We start from the raw sequence: 15,908 nt of genomic DNA, 5'->3' as shown, positions 1-15,908 counted from the left end.
ACCAAAATCTATGAGATACAGTGAAAGCAGTACTAAGAAGGAAATTTACACCTATGAGGGCCTACATCAAAAAGAAGAAAAACTTCAAATAAATAACCTAACATTCATCTTAAAGAACTAGAAGAGCAAGAGCAAACCGAACCCAAAATTAGAACAAACAATAAAGATCAGAGCAGAAATAAATACATTTGAAATGAATAAAATACAAAATATCAATAAATATCATTTGCAACAGCATGGATGGAACCAGAAGTCATTATGCTAAGTGAAATAGGTCAGTCACAGAAAGACAAACTTTGCATGTTCTCACTTATTTGTGGGTGCTAAAAAAATCAAAACTGAACTCATGGAGATAGTAGAAGAATGATTACCAGAGGCTGGGAAGTGCAGCTGGGGAGGAGGGGAAATGGGGATGATTAATGAGTACAAAAAAAAATAGAAAGAATAAGTAAGACTTAGTACTTGATAGCACAACAGGGTGACTATAGTCAATAATTTAATTGGACATTTTATAACTAAAAGAGTGTAATTGGATTGTAACACAAGGATGAATGCTTCACAGGATGGTTACCCCATTTTCCACGATGTGATTATTACCCGTTGCATGCCTGTATCAAAGTACCTCATATACCCCATAAATATATACACCAACTCTATACCCACAAAAATAAATAAATAATTTTTTAAAAAAAAAAGAAGTAGGCTGGGTGCGGTGGCACACGCCTATAATCCCAACACTTTGGGAGGTCGAGGCAGGTGGATCACCTGAGGTCAGGAATTTGAGACCAGCTTGGTTAACATGGTGAAACACTGTCTCTACTAAAAATATAAAAATTAGCTGGGTGTGCTGGTGGGCGCCTGTAATCCCAGCTACTCAGGAGGCTGAGGCAGGAGAATCCCTTGAACCCAGGAAGTGGAGGTTGCGGTGAGCCAAGATCATGCCATTGCACTCCAGCCTGGTGACAGAACAAGACTCCGTCTCAAAAAAAAAAAAAAAAAGTATCCTCAAGGTCTCTCTGACCTTCGCTCCCCTATCTCTCAGTTATCTTTCTGTCCAAAAGTACAAGATGAGGCTGTTCTCTGTAGTTCCTTCATCTACCTAGAAACTGGACCCCCAAAGAATACAATTGCCTTCAATCCTGTTGACAAAAAAAAGCAAATTCTGTAAAATATTTAAGGTTTATTCTGAGCCAAACATAAGTGACCATGGTCCGAAGTACAGTCTCCAGAGGTCCAGAGAAAGCACGCCCAAGGTGGTTGGATTATAACTTGGTTTTATACATTTTAGGGAGACTTCCAGATTGTGTCAGCAGGCTGCTGCTCCCACCAGATGCATAAGCCAGTACACACAAGCTCCCAGATGACCTTGAGGGCACAAATTACATGTTCAGTTTTCCCCAAAGATGCATGCAGCACAGTCCAAAGTGTGCCTTCCTCTGAACGCTTCTCTTAGACACAACAGTGGTATTAAAATTATGCATTATATTCCCCTTTCTAGGATGAAAATTACCAATACTGCTAACATACTGGTAAGTCATTAATATGACAGCATAATTTACACAGCACATTAATATGACGGCATAATTTACACAGCACGTAAATGTTACATGTTAGCCAACTTTCTGCAGAGTAAACGAAGATCATTTTGTTAAAAGTTTTTTTTTCTATAAATAGGTTTTTGGTAATTTTTTTTATATATACTTTAAGTTCTGGGATACACGTGCAGAACGTGCAGGTTTGTTACAAAGGTATACATGTGCTATGGTGGTTTGCTGCACTTATCAAACCATCATCTACATTAGGTATTTCTCCTAAAGCTATCCCTCCCCTAGCCCCCACCCTGTTGGTAATTATTTTTAATCAAATTGGCTATAATTTAAAAAAAATTTTTTTTTGGAGACAGAGTCTTACTCTGTCACCCAGGCTGGAGTGCAGTGGCGCAATTATGGCTCCACTGCAGCCTTGATTTCCCAAACTCAAGCAATCCTCCCACTTCAGTCCCCTGAGTAGTTGGGACCACAGGCATGCACCACCATGGCTGGCTAATTAAAAAAAAAAAAAAAAAAAAAAAAATTTCTAGAAAAGGGGTCTCTGGACAGGCGCGGTGGCTCATGCCTGTAATCCCAGAACTTTAGGAGGCTGAGGCAGGCAGATCACGAGGTCTAGAGATTGAGACCATCCTGGCCAACATGGTGAAACCTCGTCTCTACAAAAAATACAAAAAATTAGATGGGTGTGGTGGAGACTGAGGCAGGAGGATCGCTTGAACCCAGGAGGCGGAGGTTGCAGTGAGCTGACATCGCGCCAATGCACTCCAGCCTGGCGATGGCGCGAGACTCCATCTCAAAACAACAACAACAAAACAAAAAGGGGACTCCCTATTGCCCAGCCGGGTCCTGAACTTCTGGGTTCAAGCAATCCTTCCACCTAGGTCTCCCAAAGTGCTGGAACACAGGTGTGGGCCACCATACCCAGCCTATAACAATTTCATAACTTCCAATTGAAGGAGCGCAAGGAATTTCCACCCCAAAACACAGCCTCCTGAGATAATGAGTATTTTGAATTAAAAGCCCTTAAAAATCAACAGGTATTAGGAATAGATTTTTCCTCTGTCTACATAAACACCAGATAGACCCAACAAAAACAATACTTTTTCCTTCTCTCCATTATCTCACAATCTACTGCAGAAAAGATGACCAAGAATGTAACCAGACCTAATCAGATCTTTCTACAAAATAACGTCTGCCTCTCGGGATCACTCCATTTCCAAAGAGAATCATTTACACATCAGTCTCTGTTCCCTCATCCATTCATTCTCCACAGTAATCAATTATTACTCAGCAGAATACCAATATTCCCTATCTCCTCTTCCCCTCTGAAATAAGATTATGTAAGTATTTGGGCCCCATTGGGATACTGGGCAATCATTCTGTGATTCTCACGTGTGCACGTTAATAAATCTGTATGCTTTTTCTCTATGTGCCTTTTTTTTTCTTTTGAGATGGAGTCTCGCTCTGTCGCCCAGTCTGGAGTTCAGTGGCGCAATCTCGGTTCACTGCAACCTCCACCTCCTGGGTTCAAGAGATTCTCCTGCCTCAGCCTCCCGAGCAGCCGGGACTGCAGGCGCCCGCCACCACACCCTGTGAATTTTTGTACTTTTAGTAAAGACAGGATTTCACCATGTTGGTCAGGCTGGTCTAGAACTCCTGACCTCAGATAATTTGCCCACCTTCGCCTCCCAAAGTGCTGGGATTACAGGCGTAAGCCACTGCACTCAACCAGTATGCCTTTTTGAGTTGATTTTTATACCGCATTGTACTTGAAATGGTAAGCAATGACCCCTCAGTATTCTTCAATTTGGGGTATCTTATAATTTATATGGTTCCACATGCTGACTTTTCACCTCCTAGCATGTGTTTGTTGTTGTTGTTGCTGTTGTGAGACGGAGTCTTGCTCTGTCGCCCAGGCTGGAGTGTGGCGGCGCGATCTCGCCTCACCGCAACCTCTGCCTCTCGGGTTCAAGCAATTCTCCTGCCTCAGCCTCCTGTGTAGCTGGGATTACAGGCGTGTGCCACCACGCCCGGCTAACTTTTGTATTTTTAGTAGAGAGGGGGTTTCACCATGTTGGTCAGGCTGGTCTCAACTCCTGACGTCGTGATCCGTCCGCCTCGGCCTCCCAAAGTGCAGGGATTACAGGCTTGAGCCACCGCGTCCCACCCACATGTTTTAAAAATACAAATGAGCGGCCGGGCGCAGTGGCTCACACCTGTAATCCTAGCACTTTGGGAGGCTGAGCCGGGTGGATTGACTGAGGTCAGGAGTTCGAGACCAGTCTGGCCAACCTGGTAAAACCCCGTCTCTACTAAAAATACAAAAATTAGCCGGGCGTGGTGGCGCGCCTGTAATCCCAGCTACACAGGAGGCTGAGGCAAGAGAATCGCTGGAACCTGGGAGGCGGAGGCTGCAGTGATCCGATATCTCACCACTGCACTCCAGCCTGGGCGACAGAGTGAGACTCTATCTCAAAAAAAAAAAAAAAAAGAAAAAAAAAAGAGTTCATTGTAAAGTCATTGTGCTTTTTAAGACTATTATTAACATGTGGCCTAAAACAAAACCCTGTCAGAGGCTCCAGGGGACAACCCCAGCCTTGCAGAGCAGGGTGGACATTTGGCATTTTGTTCAAAGTTGCACTGAGGCTCAGTGCGGTTCCCAGAACTGTGGTAGCTCCCTGGTTTCCACAGACACTGCAGTTGATGAAGGCTGACAGTTTAATTCCAATGAACGGATGTGCATGTGCGACGGGCACAGCAACTGGGTTTGTTTTCACTCTATTCTCGCTTAAGTGAGGCAATAATACAAAGTTGACTGTGGGCTCCCAGAACACTTGCTGGTGCTAATGCCTACACTGTCAACTGCAATTCAAGAACCGATGACAAATTCAAGACAATGCCCTGCAAATGATGCCAATTTCTTTTTTTTTTTCTTTTTGAGACACAGTCTCATTCCATTGCCCAGGCTGGAATACAGTGGTGTGATCACAGGTCACTGCAGCCTCAGCCTCGCCCTTTGGGACTTCAGCAATCCTCCCACCTCACCCTCCTGAGTAGCTAAGACTACGGGCCATACTGGCAATTTTTTTTTTTTTGAGACGGAATCTCGCTGTGTCGCCCAGGCTGGAGTGCAGTGGCACAATCTCGGCTCACTGCAAGCTCCACCTCCCAGGTTCACGCCATTCTCCTGCCTCAGCCTCCCGAGTAGCTGGGACTGCAGGCGCCCGCCACCAGACCCGGCTAATTTTTTGTATTTTTAGTAGAGATGGGGTTTCACCCTGTTAACCAGGATGGTCTCAATCTCCTGACCTCATGATCCACCTGCTTCGGCCTCCCAAAGTGCTGGGATTATAGGCGTGAGCCACCGCACCAGGTCCATACTGGCAAATTTCTTGACTTTTTTTTTTTTTTTTTTTGAGAGACAAGACAAGGTTTCACTACGTTACCCAGGCTGATTTTGAACTCCTAAACTCAAGCAATCCTCCCAATGTGGCCACCCAAACTGCTGGTTTTACAGATGTGAGCTACTGCGACTGGACCAAATGATGCCAAATATATTCCTGAAAACAAACATACACACAACTTCTAAAGTGTGATCAATGCATGACTAGTCTAGCTTTCATAGTTCAAATAAGACTAAATATTTGTGTGGATTTTAAAAGATATACCTATTCCAGGGGTTACTGGTAAGGTTTAACCAACAATCAATCACTAAGGCAATTATTTCTGGATCCCATCACAGACATCAGTAACAGGCAGCTGGGGAGACATGGAAGGTTTTTGACTATGGCAAAGATATGATCCATACTCAGATTTAAGAAAAATTACTGGGGGGAGGCTGGGCACAGTGGCTTACACCTGTAATCCCAGCACTTTGGAAAGCCGAGGCAGGCGGATCACCTGAGGTCAGGAGTTTGAGACCAGCCTGGCCAACAGTGAAACCCCGTCTCTACTAAAAATAGAAAAATTAACCAGGTGTGGTGGCAGGCGCCTGTAGTCCTACCTACTTGGGAGGCTGAGGCAGGAGAATCACTTGAACCTGGGAGGCGGAGGTTGCAGGGAGCGGAGATCGCACCATTGCACTCCAGCTTGGGGGACAAGAGTGAGACTTCAACTCAAAAAAAAAAAAAAGAAAAAAAAGAAAAATTACTGGGGGGAGGAAAGAGTTATATAGAATGAATAGCAACACTATTGTTGAGAAATAGGCCAAAAATAAGGCAAAAACATTCAATGTGAAATGAAGGAAAACTGATAAGAACTGGTAGCTCATTGGGTAGCAGGTAGATTCCATTTTAAAACAGAATTTGAAGCCAAACAAGAGCTAGGTTAGTAAAATTGCCAAGGAAAGTCAGGAGAAGGGGCTGGATTGCAATGTAAAAAGAAATTGTGATTTGGTGCCCTTGGAGCATTTATATTCATTAAGCAGGCCCTTGAAAACGCGGAGTAGGTATAGATACCCTCTGCTGAACCTTCCCAGAGGGCAGATGGGACCCCCAATGAAGACGAGGAGAAAGGAGAAAATGGCAAAGCCAGAGGAAGAAAGTTGAAGAACCAATGAGGTAGGAAAATCAAGATATCTCAGGTCATCAGAACCAAGAAAAGAGCTTTAAAAAGGTACAAATGTCACAGAAAAATTAAGAAGGGCTGAAAATAGGTGCTGAATGCTATTTGGGAATTCATTGCTGACCTTACAACTGCTAATCCAATGTTGTAAACACAAGCCAGTCCAAAAGAAGACAAGGAAGTGGTGAGGACGGGGTGAGAAGATGAAGAAGTGAGGGCAGCAAGGCAGATCCACACAGTAAGTTAAAGTCACTGGGAGGCAGCTCTAGAAAATTTCAAGGTTTAAAATCTAGGATGGTGAGGTCGAGGCAGGTGGATCACTTGAAGCTAGGAATTCAAAACTAGTCTGGCCAACAAGGCGAAACCCCATCTCTATTAAAAATACAAAAATTAGGCTAGGCGCGGTGGCTCACACCTGTCAACCCAGCACTATGTGAGGCCGTGGTGGGCGGATCACCTGAGGTTGAGAGTTAAGACAAGCCTGACCAACATGGGGAAACCCCGTCTCTACTAAAAATACAGAATTAGCCAGGTATGGTGGCACATGCCTGTAATCCCAGCTACTCGGGAGGCTGAGGCAGGAGAATTGCTTGAACCCGGGAGGCAGAGATTGCAGTGAGCCGAGATTGCACCATTGCACTACAGCTTGGGCAACGAGAGCGAAATTCTGTCTCAAAAAAAAAAAAAAAAAAAATTGGCTGGACATGATGGTGTGGCCTGTAATCCCAGCTATTGAGGAGGCTGAGGCAGGGGAATCGTTTGAACCTGGGAGGTGAAATTTGCAGTGAGCCAAGATGGCACCATCGCACTCCAGCCTGGGCGACAAAGCAAGGCTCTTTATCAAAACTAAATAAATAAATAAATAAATAAATAAATAAATAAATAAAGTCTAGGATTACCTCATTGGGGGTGAGGAGGGGAAAAAATAGCCTATAAATGAGAGTAAAGGGGCAAACCATGGAAGGTAACAGAGGAGAAATGTCTCTGAGGACTGGGTTTATCTGCCAGATTAGTAAAAAGGAGAGGGCTGCAATAAAGGAGTCTATAAACCAAGTCTGAAGTGACAGGTCGGTTGAGCTCACCTCAGATACCCCAGTCTGATAAAAATTGTGTATCGGCACAAATTCAGGTCTACTTCAAGAGGGAGAGGGTGGAGTTGAGACAAAAGAACAAAGTAGGAAAGACCTGTAACAGATAGAAAAAGTGCAATGAGGAGTCAAACAGAAATGAGCAAAAAGTATGCCAGAAAGTGCAGAGGGCCCAGATTATGTATTGAGGGACAATCTATAGCATTCCTTGTCTTATTCCTGCAAATCTCGGCAACCTGTCCTCAGGACCAAAGTGGGGTTTACCCATGTTTGGAAATGCACAGAAGCTTATAAACCTGGTTGTACATCAGGATCGTCTGGGCACTTGTTAAAAATACAGCTTCTTGGCCAGGCGTAGTGGCTCACGCCTGTAATCCCAGCACTTTGGGAGGCTAAGGCAGGTGGATCACCTGAGGTCAGGAGTTCAAGACCAGCCCAGCCAACATGGTGAAACCCCGTCTCTACTAAAAGTACAAAAATTAGCTGGGCATAGTGGTAGGTGCCTGTAATCCCAGCTACTCGGAAGGCTGAGGCAGGAGAATCATTTGAACCCGGGAGGGGGAGGTTGCAGTGAGCCGAGATCGTGCCATTGCACTCCAGCCTGGGGAACAAGAGTGAGACTCTGTCTCAAAAAAAAAAAAAAAAAAAAATACAGCTTCTTGGCCGGGCGTGGTGGCTCATGCCTGTAATCCCAGCACTTTGGGAGGCGGAGGCGGGTGGATCACGAGGTCAGGAGTTCAAGACCAGCCTGGCCAAGATGGTGAAACCCCATCTCTACTAAAAATACAAAAATTAGCTGGGCATGGTGGCAGGTGCCTATAATACCAGCTACTTGGGAGGCTGAGGCAGAGAATTGCTTGAACCTGGGAGGCGGAGGTTGCAGTGAGCTGAGATCACACCACTGCACTCCAGCCTGGGTGACAGAGCAAGACTCTGTCTCAAAAAAACAAAAAGCAAACAAACAAAAAAAAACAGCTTCTCTAACCCTACCCCTCAGATTCTGAGTCACTATGTCAAGGGTGTGGCTAGAGATTTTTAATTAGCAATCCCAAGTAATTCTGAAACAGCTGGTAGAATGGCATTTGGAAGCCAAGCAGATCATCAGAATTATCTAATATACTTTTTAAAAATGCAGATCCATAAGCTCCTGTCCAAACCTACTGAATCTCTCACCACATTTCACATGCATAAATTTTTTCTTTTTTTTTAAATTTTTTTGAGATGGAGTCTAGCTCTGTCACCCAGGCTGGAGTGCAGTGACACAATCTCAGCTCACTGCAAACTCTGCTCCCTCGGTTCAAGCGATTTTCCTGCCTCAGCCTTCCAAGTAGCTGGGATTACAGGCGCCCACCACCACGCCTGGCTAATTTTTGTATTTTTAGTAGAGACAGGGTTTCACCATGTTGGCCAGGCTGGTCTCAAACTCCTGACCTCAAGTGATCCGCCTGCTTCTGCCTCCCAAAGTGCTGGAATTACACACATGAGCCACTGCGCCCAGCCCCACATCCATATATTTAAATGCATCATGTAGGCTGGGCACAGTGGCTCACGCCTGTAATCCCAACACTTTGGGAGGCTGAGGCGGGCGGATCACCTGAGGTCGGGAGTTCGAGACCAGCCTACCAACAAGGAGATAACCTGTCTTTACTAAAAATACAAAATTAGCCAGGCGTGGTGGCACATGCCAGTAATCCCAGCTACTCGGGAGGATAAGGCAGGAGAATCACTTGAACCCAGGAGGCGGAGGTTGCAGTGAGTCAAGATCGCGCCATTACACTCCAGCCTGGGCAACAAGAGCAAAACTCCATCTCAAAAAATAAAATAAAATAAAAAATAAATGCATCATGTTCTAATCCTTTTTCAATCAATTTTCCAGCAAATGCGTATTTGAAAAAAAAAAGAGATTTGAGTAAGAGCAATACAAGTAAGTACTATTGATTGAATTCTGGTTCTGAACCAGAACTATATGTATGTTATCTCCCTGTAAAAGGACTGACTCCAACAGCAGGTGACCTCAGGCAGACCCCCAATCAAGTTCCCGTTCCCTCAACAAATTCCAGTTCCTCTTCTCTGTTACCAGTTAAAACCATGAACCTAGATTTCCTTCAGCAGAGAAAAGGAATGCAAGCAAGCAGGTGACTGTGGAGTAAGAGTCTCTCAATGCTCTTAGGTCCACAAGTTTACATGGCTATTCATTAAAAGACCACTGACTAGGCTGGGCGCAGTGGCTCACGCCTGTAATCCCAGCACTTTGGGAGGCCGAGGCGGGTGGATCACCTGAGGTCGGGAGTTCGAGACCAGCCTGACCAACTTGGAGAAACCCCATCTCTACTAAAAATACAAAATTAGCCAGGCATGTTGACGCTTGCCTGTAATCCCAGCTACTCGGGAGGCTGAGGCAAGAGAATTGCTTGAACCCGGGAGGCGGAGGTTGTGGTGAGCCGAGTTCACTCCATTGCACTCCAGCCTGGACAAGAGTGAAACTCCTTCTAAAAAAAAAAAAAAAAAAACCACTGACTGCTCTTTAAACTGTTCTTGGAGCCAGGCACGGTGGCTCACGCCTGTAATCCCAGCACTTCGGGAGGCTGAGGCGGGTGGATCACAAGGTCAGGAGATCGAGACCATCCTGGCTAACACGGTGAAACCCCGTCTCTACTAAAAATACAAAAAATTAGCCGGGTGTGGTGGCAGGCGATTGTAGTCCCAGCTACTCTGGAGGCTGAGGCAGGAGAATGGCGTGAACCCGGGAGGTGGAGCTTGAAGTGAGCCGAGATTGCGCCACTGCTCTCCAGCCTGGGCAACAGAGCCAGACTCCGTCTCAAAAAATAAAAATAAAAAATAAAAATAAATAAGCTGTTCTTGGAAGGAAATTCTTATAAGAAACTTTTCCTGGTTCCAATTTCAGAGCCCATCTTTAAGGAGCTTCTAAGAAGCATTAATGATATTCATGCACATGCACACCATCCATCATTTTAGTGTAAATCTTTACTTGTTTAGAACATTGTATGATTCTAATAATACTAAAGATACTTTTATTTAAAAATATAATATAGATTTTTTAATGTTACAAATAACATTAGCTCTAACATATGAATGCAAATGACCTATGGTTATTGCTTTACGTTGGGCCACTCAAAGCCCTGGAAAACCTTAAGAACAGGTGTTAACAGGCATGCAAGCACTGAAGCCAGTGACATAAGTCTGAATCCTGCCTCTGAAATTTACTAGGTGCAGGGTACTGCAATAGGACTTTCTGAAACTTTTTTTCCTTCCCTAAAATTGTAATAATACCACCTATTTTTTCAGGGTTGTTATAAGAACTAGAGGTAACATACACATAGTCCTGGTTCAGTGCCAGAATTCAATCAATAGTACTTTTTTGTATTGCTTTCACCAAAATTTCTATCCCTCTTCCCCAGAGATGAAATTAGTACTCTAGAAGTTCTCAGGATACTGGGGTATATGTTGAAAATGTGAGCATTCCAGCCATGGTGAGTACCAGAAAAAAAAAAACTGTACTTACATAGAAAGTTTACCAAGTAAATAATGTGAAAAGTCCCTCACCACAAAGCACCGAGATGCTGAATAAATTACAACAGATATTCAAATACTCAGATACAACAAATGCATGGCTGAGCTCATAACAAAATAAAGGAGGTGCCCAAAGGCAAGCAAAAAAAAAAAAGAACCCAAAACTTAAACACAAGTAACTAACTTGTAAGACCATGCTGCCCAAGAGGCAAAGTCATTGCCAGGAACCCGAAAGCCTAGGGGACTAAGAGCCTTTCAGGGGACGGAAGTTTTGGCCTTGGGTTTTCACAATAGGAAAAAGCTGAACCTGAGGCCTGGAACTAAGGTTCCATAAAAGGGAGCATTGGGCCGGGCACGATGGCTCACACCTGTAATCCCAGCACTTTGGGAGGCCGAGGCGGGCGGATCACGAGGTCATGATATTGAGACCATCCTAGCCAACAAGGTGAAACCCCGTCTCTACTAAAAATACAAAAATTAGCTGGGCATGGTGGTGTGTGCCTGTAGTCCCAGCTACTAGGGAGGCTGAGGCAGGAGAATCACTTCAGCCCAGATGGCGGAGGTTGCAGTGAGCCAAGATTGCACCACTGCACTCCAGCCTGGCGACAGGGTAAGACTCAGTCTCAAAAAAAAAAAAAAGATGGAGTTTTGCTGCGTTGCTCAGGCTGGAGTGCAGTAGCTATTCACAGGTGCAAACACAGCATACTTCATCCTCAAACTCATGGCTTGTAGTGATTCTCCTGCCTCAGCCTCCCAAGTAGCTGAGACTATAGGAGTGCACCGATTATAAGGATTGTTATCTCTGTTGTCCAGATGAAGAAACGTAGAAATTAAGAGACAGTCCAATTCACACAGCTAGCTATGGAAGAGGGACTAGAACGTGAGTGCTATATAACCCCAAAGCCTATGTCTTAATTGCTTCACCTTTCTGTTTCACTTAAATGGGGAGCTTCACATTCAGGAATACACAAAGGATGCAGTTGGTACACTTTATTATTTTTGCCAAAAAGCACAGAACTCTAAAAACAGCAGGGTTTATAACCACAGAACATGACATAACAATGCTAAATGGAATTTTCTGCCAAGTTCTTGAGTTTTCAGTTTTTGTTCCTTCTTCTTTAAGAGGGAAAGTGACATTTCAATTGAGTAATGCCTACTTTGTAATGCGTTTAAATTTTGTGGTTTTCATATATAAATATTTTCCTAGGTGCTATAGAATGAACTGGCACTTTTCAGTAACTTAAATCTGGTTTACTTTTTGATGAGGGGGAAGAACAGACTTATCTAATGATACTATTGAACTAATAGGGAGGCAGATTTGAGTCAAAGAAGAAAGCACTTTCTAAAATATTTTTTACCCTTCCCAAATTGAACAGGGTGTGGTCATCCAGTAGTTTGAGACTACTTCTCAAAACACTAGATCATTCTCCTACAGATATTACAGATTTTATCATGGTAAGGGGAATGGCTGTACCTATTAAGATAATTACTTTTCGACCCTGAAAATAGCAACAAGAATTTTGAGTTTCAGCCGGTTTACAATATCGAGACAATGTAACACACCTAGAAAAGGTAGTGCTAGGTTCTCCATTTTAAAAAAAACTGCTCTGGGTTTTCTTTGAATTAAAAAAAAAAAAAATGGTGTGTGCCTGTAGTCCCATCTACTTAAGAGACTGAGGCAGAAGGATAGCTTTGAGCCCATGAGTTCGAAGCTATAGTGAGCTACGATTGTACCTATGAATAGGCACAGCACTCTAGCCTTATCCTGGGCAACACAGTGAGACCCCATCTCTCTCTGACTCCCCTCCCCTCTCTCTCTCTCTCTCCCTCTCCCTCTCTTTTTGAGACAGGGTCTCACTCTGTTGCCCAGGCTGGAATACAGTGAAACGATCATGGCTCACTACAGCCTCCACCTCCTGAGCGCAAGCGATCCTCCCACTTCAGTCCACAAGGGGTCATTTTTTGCAGAGACGGGGTTTTGAAATGTTCCCAGGCCGGTCTCAAACTCCTGGGCTCAAGCGATCCTCCCCCTCGGTCTCCCAAAGTGCTGGGATTACAGGCGTGAGCCCCCGTGCCAAGCAATCCCGTCTCTTTAAAAAAAAAAAAAAAAAAAAAAAAAAAAATGCCTGGCCAACATGGTGAAACTCCGTCTCTACTAAAAGTACAAAAAATTAGCCGGGCGTGGTGGCGGGCGCCTGTAGTCCCAGCTACTCGGGAGGCTGAGGCAGGAGAATGGCGTGAACCCGGGAGGCGGAGCTTGCAGTGAGCCAAGATTGCGTCACTGCACTCCAGCCTGGGCGACAGAGCCAGACTCCGTCTCAAAAAAAAAAAAAAAAATGTACAAAAATTAGCTGTGCATGGTGGCAGGCACCTGTAACCCCAGCTACTCGGGAGGCTGAGACAGGAGAATCTTGAAGCCAGGAGGCAGAGGTTGCAGTGAGCCGAGATTGCGCCACTGCACTCCAGCCTGCGGGACAAGCGCAAAACTGCGTCTCAAAAAAAAAAAAAAAAAAAGAATGGAAAAGAGAAAAAGCAGAGCTACCTTACAGAAATGATTTGTAGACTGCCACAACTCCCTTTTACCCTTACTGCTAAAAGGGCACTTCCTCTTTTCCCCTACTCAATGGGTTTGTAATTTAGCCAGGTGATTTTAAGTAAAATGATAGAATAAAGAATTTGAGGCCGGATGTGGTGGCTCACATCTGTAATCCCAGCACTTTGGGAGGCTGAGGCGGGCGGATCACTTGAGATCAGGAGTTCGAGACCAGCCTGGGCAACATGGTGAAACCCCCGTATCTACTAAAAACAGAAAAATTAGTTGGGCGTGGTGGCGCATGCTTGCAATCCCAGCTACTTGGGAGGCTGAGGCAGGAGAATCGCTTGAACCCGGGAGGCAGAGGTTGCAGTGATCTGAGTTCATGCCACTGCACTCCAGCTTGGGCGACAGAGTGAGACTCCGTCTCACAAAAATAAGGAATTTGGTGCCCACTATTCTCCAACTGAAAACAGTTGATGATTAACAAATTCTGTACATTAAATAACTTGAAAACCCATTAAATAAATACCTTCGATCCAAAGTAAATCATTTTCATTTGATAAGGAAGAAAACACCCTCCCATTAATTTGAGTGAATCACACCTAAGACTGGAAGAGAGTTCAGAAACTGTTTCACACTAGTGTCCTCATTTTGAAGACAAGGAAATGAAGACCGAAGGCACTGTAATTCAGTTACTTGTTTACATATTTTCTCACCTCACAATTTCTGCCCTTATCTACTGTAGTTATATCTTTTTAATTCATCATGTTTTTCTGCTCTATGCCTACTACAAGTTCAGAACCAGGACTAAAAGGGAATTTAAAAGCTCTAATATTTATCATATTTAAATCGTCATATTTGCTTAATCAGAATGAAATGCGTGAAAGTAATTAGAATTATTTGTATTTCTGCTGCTCAAATGAGGTTTTGCCTCGTAAGCTGGTCTACATACCAGACACCTCTGGTTACCGCATAAAGGAGGGGAGGGGATTTTAAAGAAGTTTTGCAAATCAAAGAAAAAAGAAATCCCTAGTTTCAAACTCGCCTGGGGAGAAGAGAACACATTTACAAGACAGGGGAGATTACGTGGCCTTGAATAGATCGCCTTGAATAGATCACCTTGAGGACTTCTTTAAGATTCAATGAGAATTCAGAAATCAAAACACCGCATTACTGACATCTGAACCTATTAACATGAAAACAGCAATAATGATTCCGTTTTCTGATGTTAGGAACAGCTTTCCTTGCCGCTTTTCACAGTCAGCCTGGGAGTCAAGCGTCCCTTTAAGAAAATCCAGGCACTAAGAAGGTTGCTCACCACACCTAGGTTGTCAGACTTGGGCGGACACCAGCCTCCCCTTCACCGTATTAGGCCTCCACCACGGCTGCCCAAAGCAGGAATTTAGCGAAGCCGCTTAAGCTTCAGTAGCTAGAAAACTGGTCTTTTCAAATCCTAACAAAAGTTAGAGAGAAAAAGAGAATTCTACCTGTACTTTCTGAATTTTCTGAGAAGTGACCTCCAGGACAAGCTCGGCGGTAGGCGGGTTCCTGCCCAAGGTCCTCTGGGGGAAGGGACAGCATAGCTAAGGGAGTGGGTGGCCGAGCGCAGCCTTCCACAATGAACCTCCCGAACCAGTTACCTCCGCAGCGGGGGACGAGAGGGCGCACCTGCAGGGCGCTGGGAGCGCCCCTCACCCGCACCTACGCGCCGGGGCCACCCTTCCCCCGCGCCCCGAGGCGCTTACCTGTGGCTCCTGAGGGCACCTGGCCCTTGAAGGCAGCGGTCCCTACACGTCCCAGGTGCGACGCGGGCCTGCTCCAGGGCCGGGGCACCCCGGGCGGCAGGTAGGAGGGGTTGGACTTCCGCCGGATCGCCACCCGCCTGAAGTTGGAGCCGCCCTCGTCGCTCATCCTGCCGGGCTCGACCGCCGCTCCCCGACTCCTCCCGCTCCCGTCCAGCCGCGAGCGGCCCCTGGGGGGCGTCGCCTGCATGCCCAGGTTCGGCGCGACTCCGGGGGCGCCCTCTACTGCGGCGTCTCCTCAGCGAGTGCCTCCTCTCCCTCTCCTTCCCGGTACGCTCCCTCCCGGCGTCGCGGCGAGTTTGGCTGCGGCGACTCCTGCGGCAGTCGCAGCGTCTCGGTATCTGCAGCTCCCGCACTCACTCAAAGCCGCTACCGCAGCTGCCAGGCCGGGGCTGCCTCCACCCCTTCCTCTCTGGAGCCAATCGCCAGCAGGTCCCCAAGGGCGGGAGGAGAGCGCAGAGGGTTCAGCCTGTTAGCGCCGCCGCCGCCGCCGCCGCCGCCTCCTCCGGCCGGGGAAGCAGCCAAGAACTTGCTGTGCCCAGCGGAGCGCCCTGGGCGCGGCCCCGGAGCCGGAGCCGGTTCGCTCTGGCCGGCCCCGCCCTGCCGCGCCACTGCCTCGCCCTTTGGCCGAGGGGAGCCGCGCGGGCGCGCACCTGCGGCCGCACACCTGGGGTGCTGCGAGGCGGGGGCCGCGCTCACCTGCTGGCCACGCAGTGCCCTCGGGAAGAAGTCCAGCTACTCTGGACCATGTCCAGGGTGCTTGCATTCTCGCAGACCCGCACTCTGAGGGTCGCGTATGTGTCTCAAGCCGTTGTGCTGAACCCTTGATCTTATGTCC

At 46.1% G+C, this 15,908-nt stretch overlaps 1 protein-coding gene across 3 annotated transcripts in view, besides 10 other annotated features; it reads right to left on the bottom strand.

Moving 5' to 3' along the window:
• The window catches only part of FGD4 (FYVE, RhoGEF and PH domain containing 4), a 246,493-nt gene extending 231,078 nt beyond the window's left edge, over positions 1 to 15,415 (bottom strand). For all 3 annotated transcript variants that reach the window (XR_001748576.2, NM_001370298.3, NM_001384126.1), the window contains exon 1: positions 15,014 to 15,415. Coding sequence is in view for 2 of the 3 variants with exons in the window: in NM_001370298.3 (NP_001357227.2) it covers positions 15,014 to 15,179 (166 nt within the window). In the remaining variant the exon portion in view is untranslated. The remainder of the gene's footprint in view (positions 1 to 15,013) is intronic.
• Positions 3,790 to 4,390: an enhancer, noted in NCBI's record as "H3K4me1 hESC enhancer chr12:32563517-32564117 (GRCh37/hg19 assembly coordinates)". NCBI's record gives its function as "activates a minimal SCP1, AML or CMV promoter by ChIP-STARR-seq in naive H9 embryonic stem cells {active_cell/tissue: H9 hESC(naive)}" and the evidence as "EXISTENCE:reporter gene assay evidence [ECO:0000049][PMID:30033119]".
• Positions 8,211 to 9,196: an enhancer, noted in NCBI's record as "H3K27ac-H3K4me1 hESC enhancer chr12:32558711-32559696 (GRCh37/hg19 assembly coordinates)". NCBI's record gives its function as "activates a minimal SCP1, AML or CMV promoter by ChIP-STARR-seq in primed H9 embryonic stem cells {active_cell/tissue: H9 hESC(primed)}" and the evidence as "EXISTENCE:reporter gene assay evidence [ECO:0000049][PMID:30033119]".
• Positions 12,108 to 13,047: an enhancer, noted in NCBI's record as "H3K27ac-H3K4me1 hESC enhancer chr12:32554860-32555799 (GRCh37/hg19 assembly coordinates)". NCBI's record gives its function as "activates a minimal SCP1, AML or CMV promoter by ChIP-STARR-seq in naive H9 embryonic stem cells {active_cell/tissue: H9 hESC(naive)}" and the evidence as "EXISTENCE:reporter gene assay evidence [ECO:0000049][PMID:30033119]".
• Positions 13,048 to 13,988: an enhancer, noted in NCBI's record as "H3K27ac-H3K4me1 hESC enhancer chr12:32553919-32554859 (GRCh37/hg19 assembly coordinates)". NCBI's record gives its function as "activates a minimal SCP1, AML or CMV promoter by ChIP-STARR-seq in naive and primed H9 embryonic stem cells {active_cell/tissue: H9 hESC(naive and primed)}" and the evidence as "EXISTENCE:reporter gene assay evidence [ECO:0000049][PMID:30033119]".
• Positions 13,989 to 14,928: an enhancer, noted in NCBI's record as "OCT4-NANOG-H3K27ac-H3K4me1 hESC enhancer chr12:32552979-32553918 (GRCh37/hg19 assembly coordinates)". NCBI's record gives its function as "activates a minimal SCP1, AML or CMV promoter by ChIP-STARR-seq in naive H9 embryonic stem cells {active_cell/tissue: H9 hESC(naive)}" and the evidence as "EXISTENCE:reporter gene assay evidence [ECO:0000049][PMID:30033119]".
• Positions 14,720 to 14,889: an enhancer, noted in NCBI's record as "experimental_28316 CRE fragment used in MPRA reporter constructs". NCBI's record gives its function as "activates a minimal promoter by MPRAs in K562 erythroleukemia cells, with activity observed for both the introgressed and non-introgressed 12:32553103 variant alleles {active_cell/tissue: K562}" and the evidence as "EXISTENCE:reporter gene assay evidence [ECO:0000049][PMID:34662402]".
• Positions 14,926 to 15,235: a silencer, noted in NCBI's record as "silent region_4337". NCBI's record gives its function as "represses an Ori minimal core promoter by ATAC-STARR-seq in GM12878 lymphoblastoid cells {active_cell/tissue: GM12878}" and the evidence as "EXISTENCE:reporter gene assay evidence [ECO:0000049][PMID:35858748]".
• Positions 14,926 to 15,869: a biological region, named in NCBI's record as "NANOG-H3K27ac-H3K4me1 hESC enhancer GRCh37_chr12:32552038-32552978".
• Positions 14,929 to 15,869: an enhancer, noted in NCBI's record as "NANOG-H3K27ac-H3K4me1 hESC enhancer chr12:32552038-32552978 (GRCh37/hg19 assembly coordinates)". NCBI's record gives its function as "activates a minimal SCP1, AML or CMV promoter by ChIP-STARR-seq in primed H9 embryonic stem cells {active_cell/tissue: H9 hESC(primed)}" and the evidence as "EXISTENCE:reporter gene assay evidence [ECO:0000049][PMID:30033119]".
• Positions 15,606 to 15,785: a silencer, noted in NCBI's record as "silent region_4336". NCBI's record gives its function as "represses an Ori minimal core promoter by ATAC-STARR-seq in GM12878 lymphoblastoid cells {active_cell/tissue: GM12878}" and the evidence as "EXISTENCE:reporter gene assay evidence [ECO:0000049][PMID:35858748]".

Source organism: Homo sapiens, chromosome 12 (assembly GCF_000001405.40).
Source record: "Homo sapiens chromosome 12, GRCh38.p14 Primary Assembly".
NCBI classification, from domain to species: Eukaryota; Metazoa; Chordata; class Mammalia; order Primates; family Hominidae; genus Homo; species Homo sapiens.
Note: the sequence above shows the minus strand (reverse complement) of the source record. Positions and strands in the feature narration are given on the sequence as shown.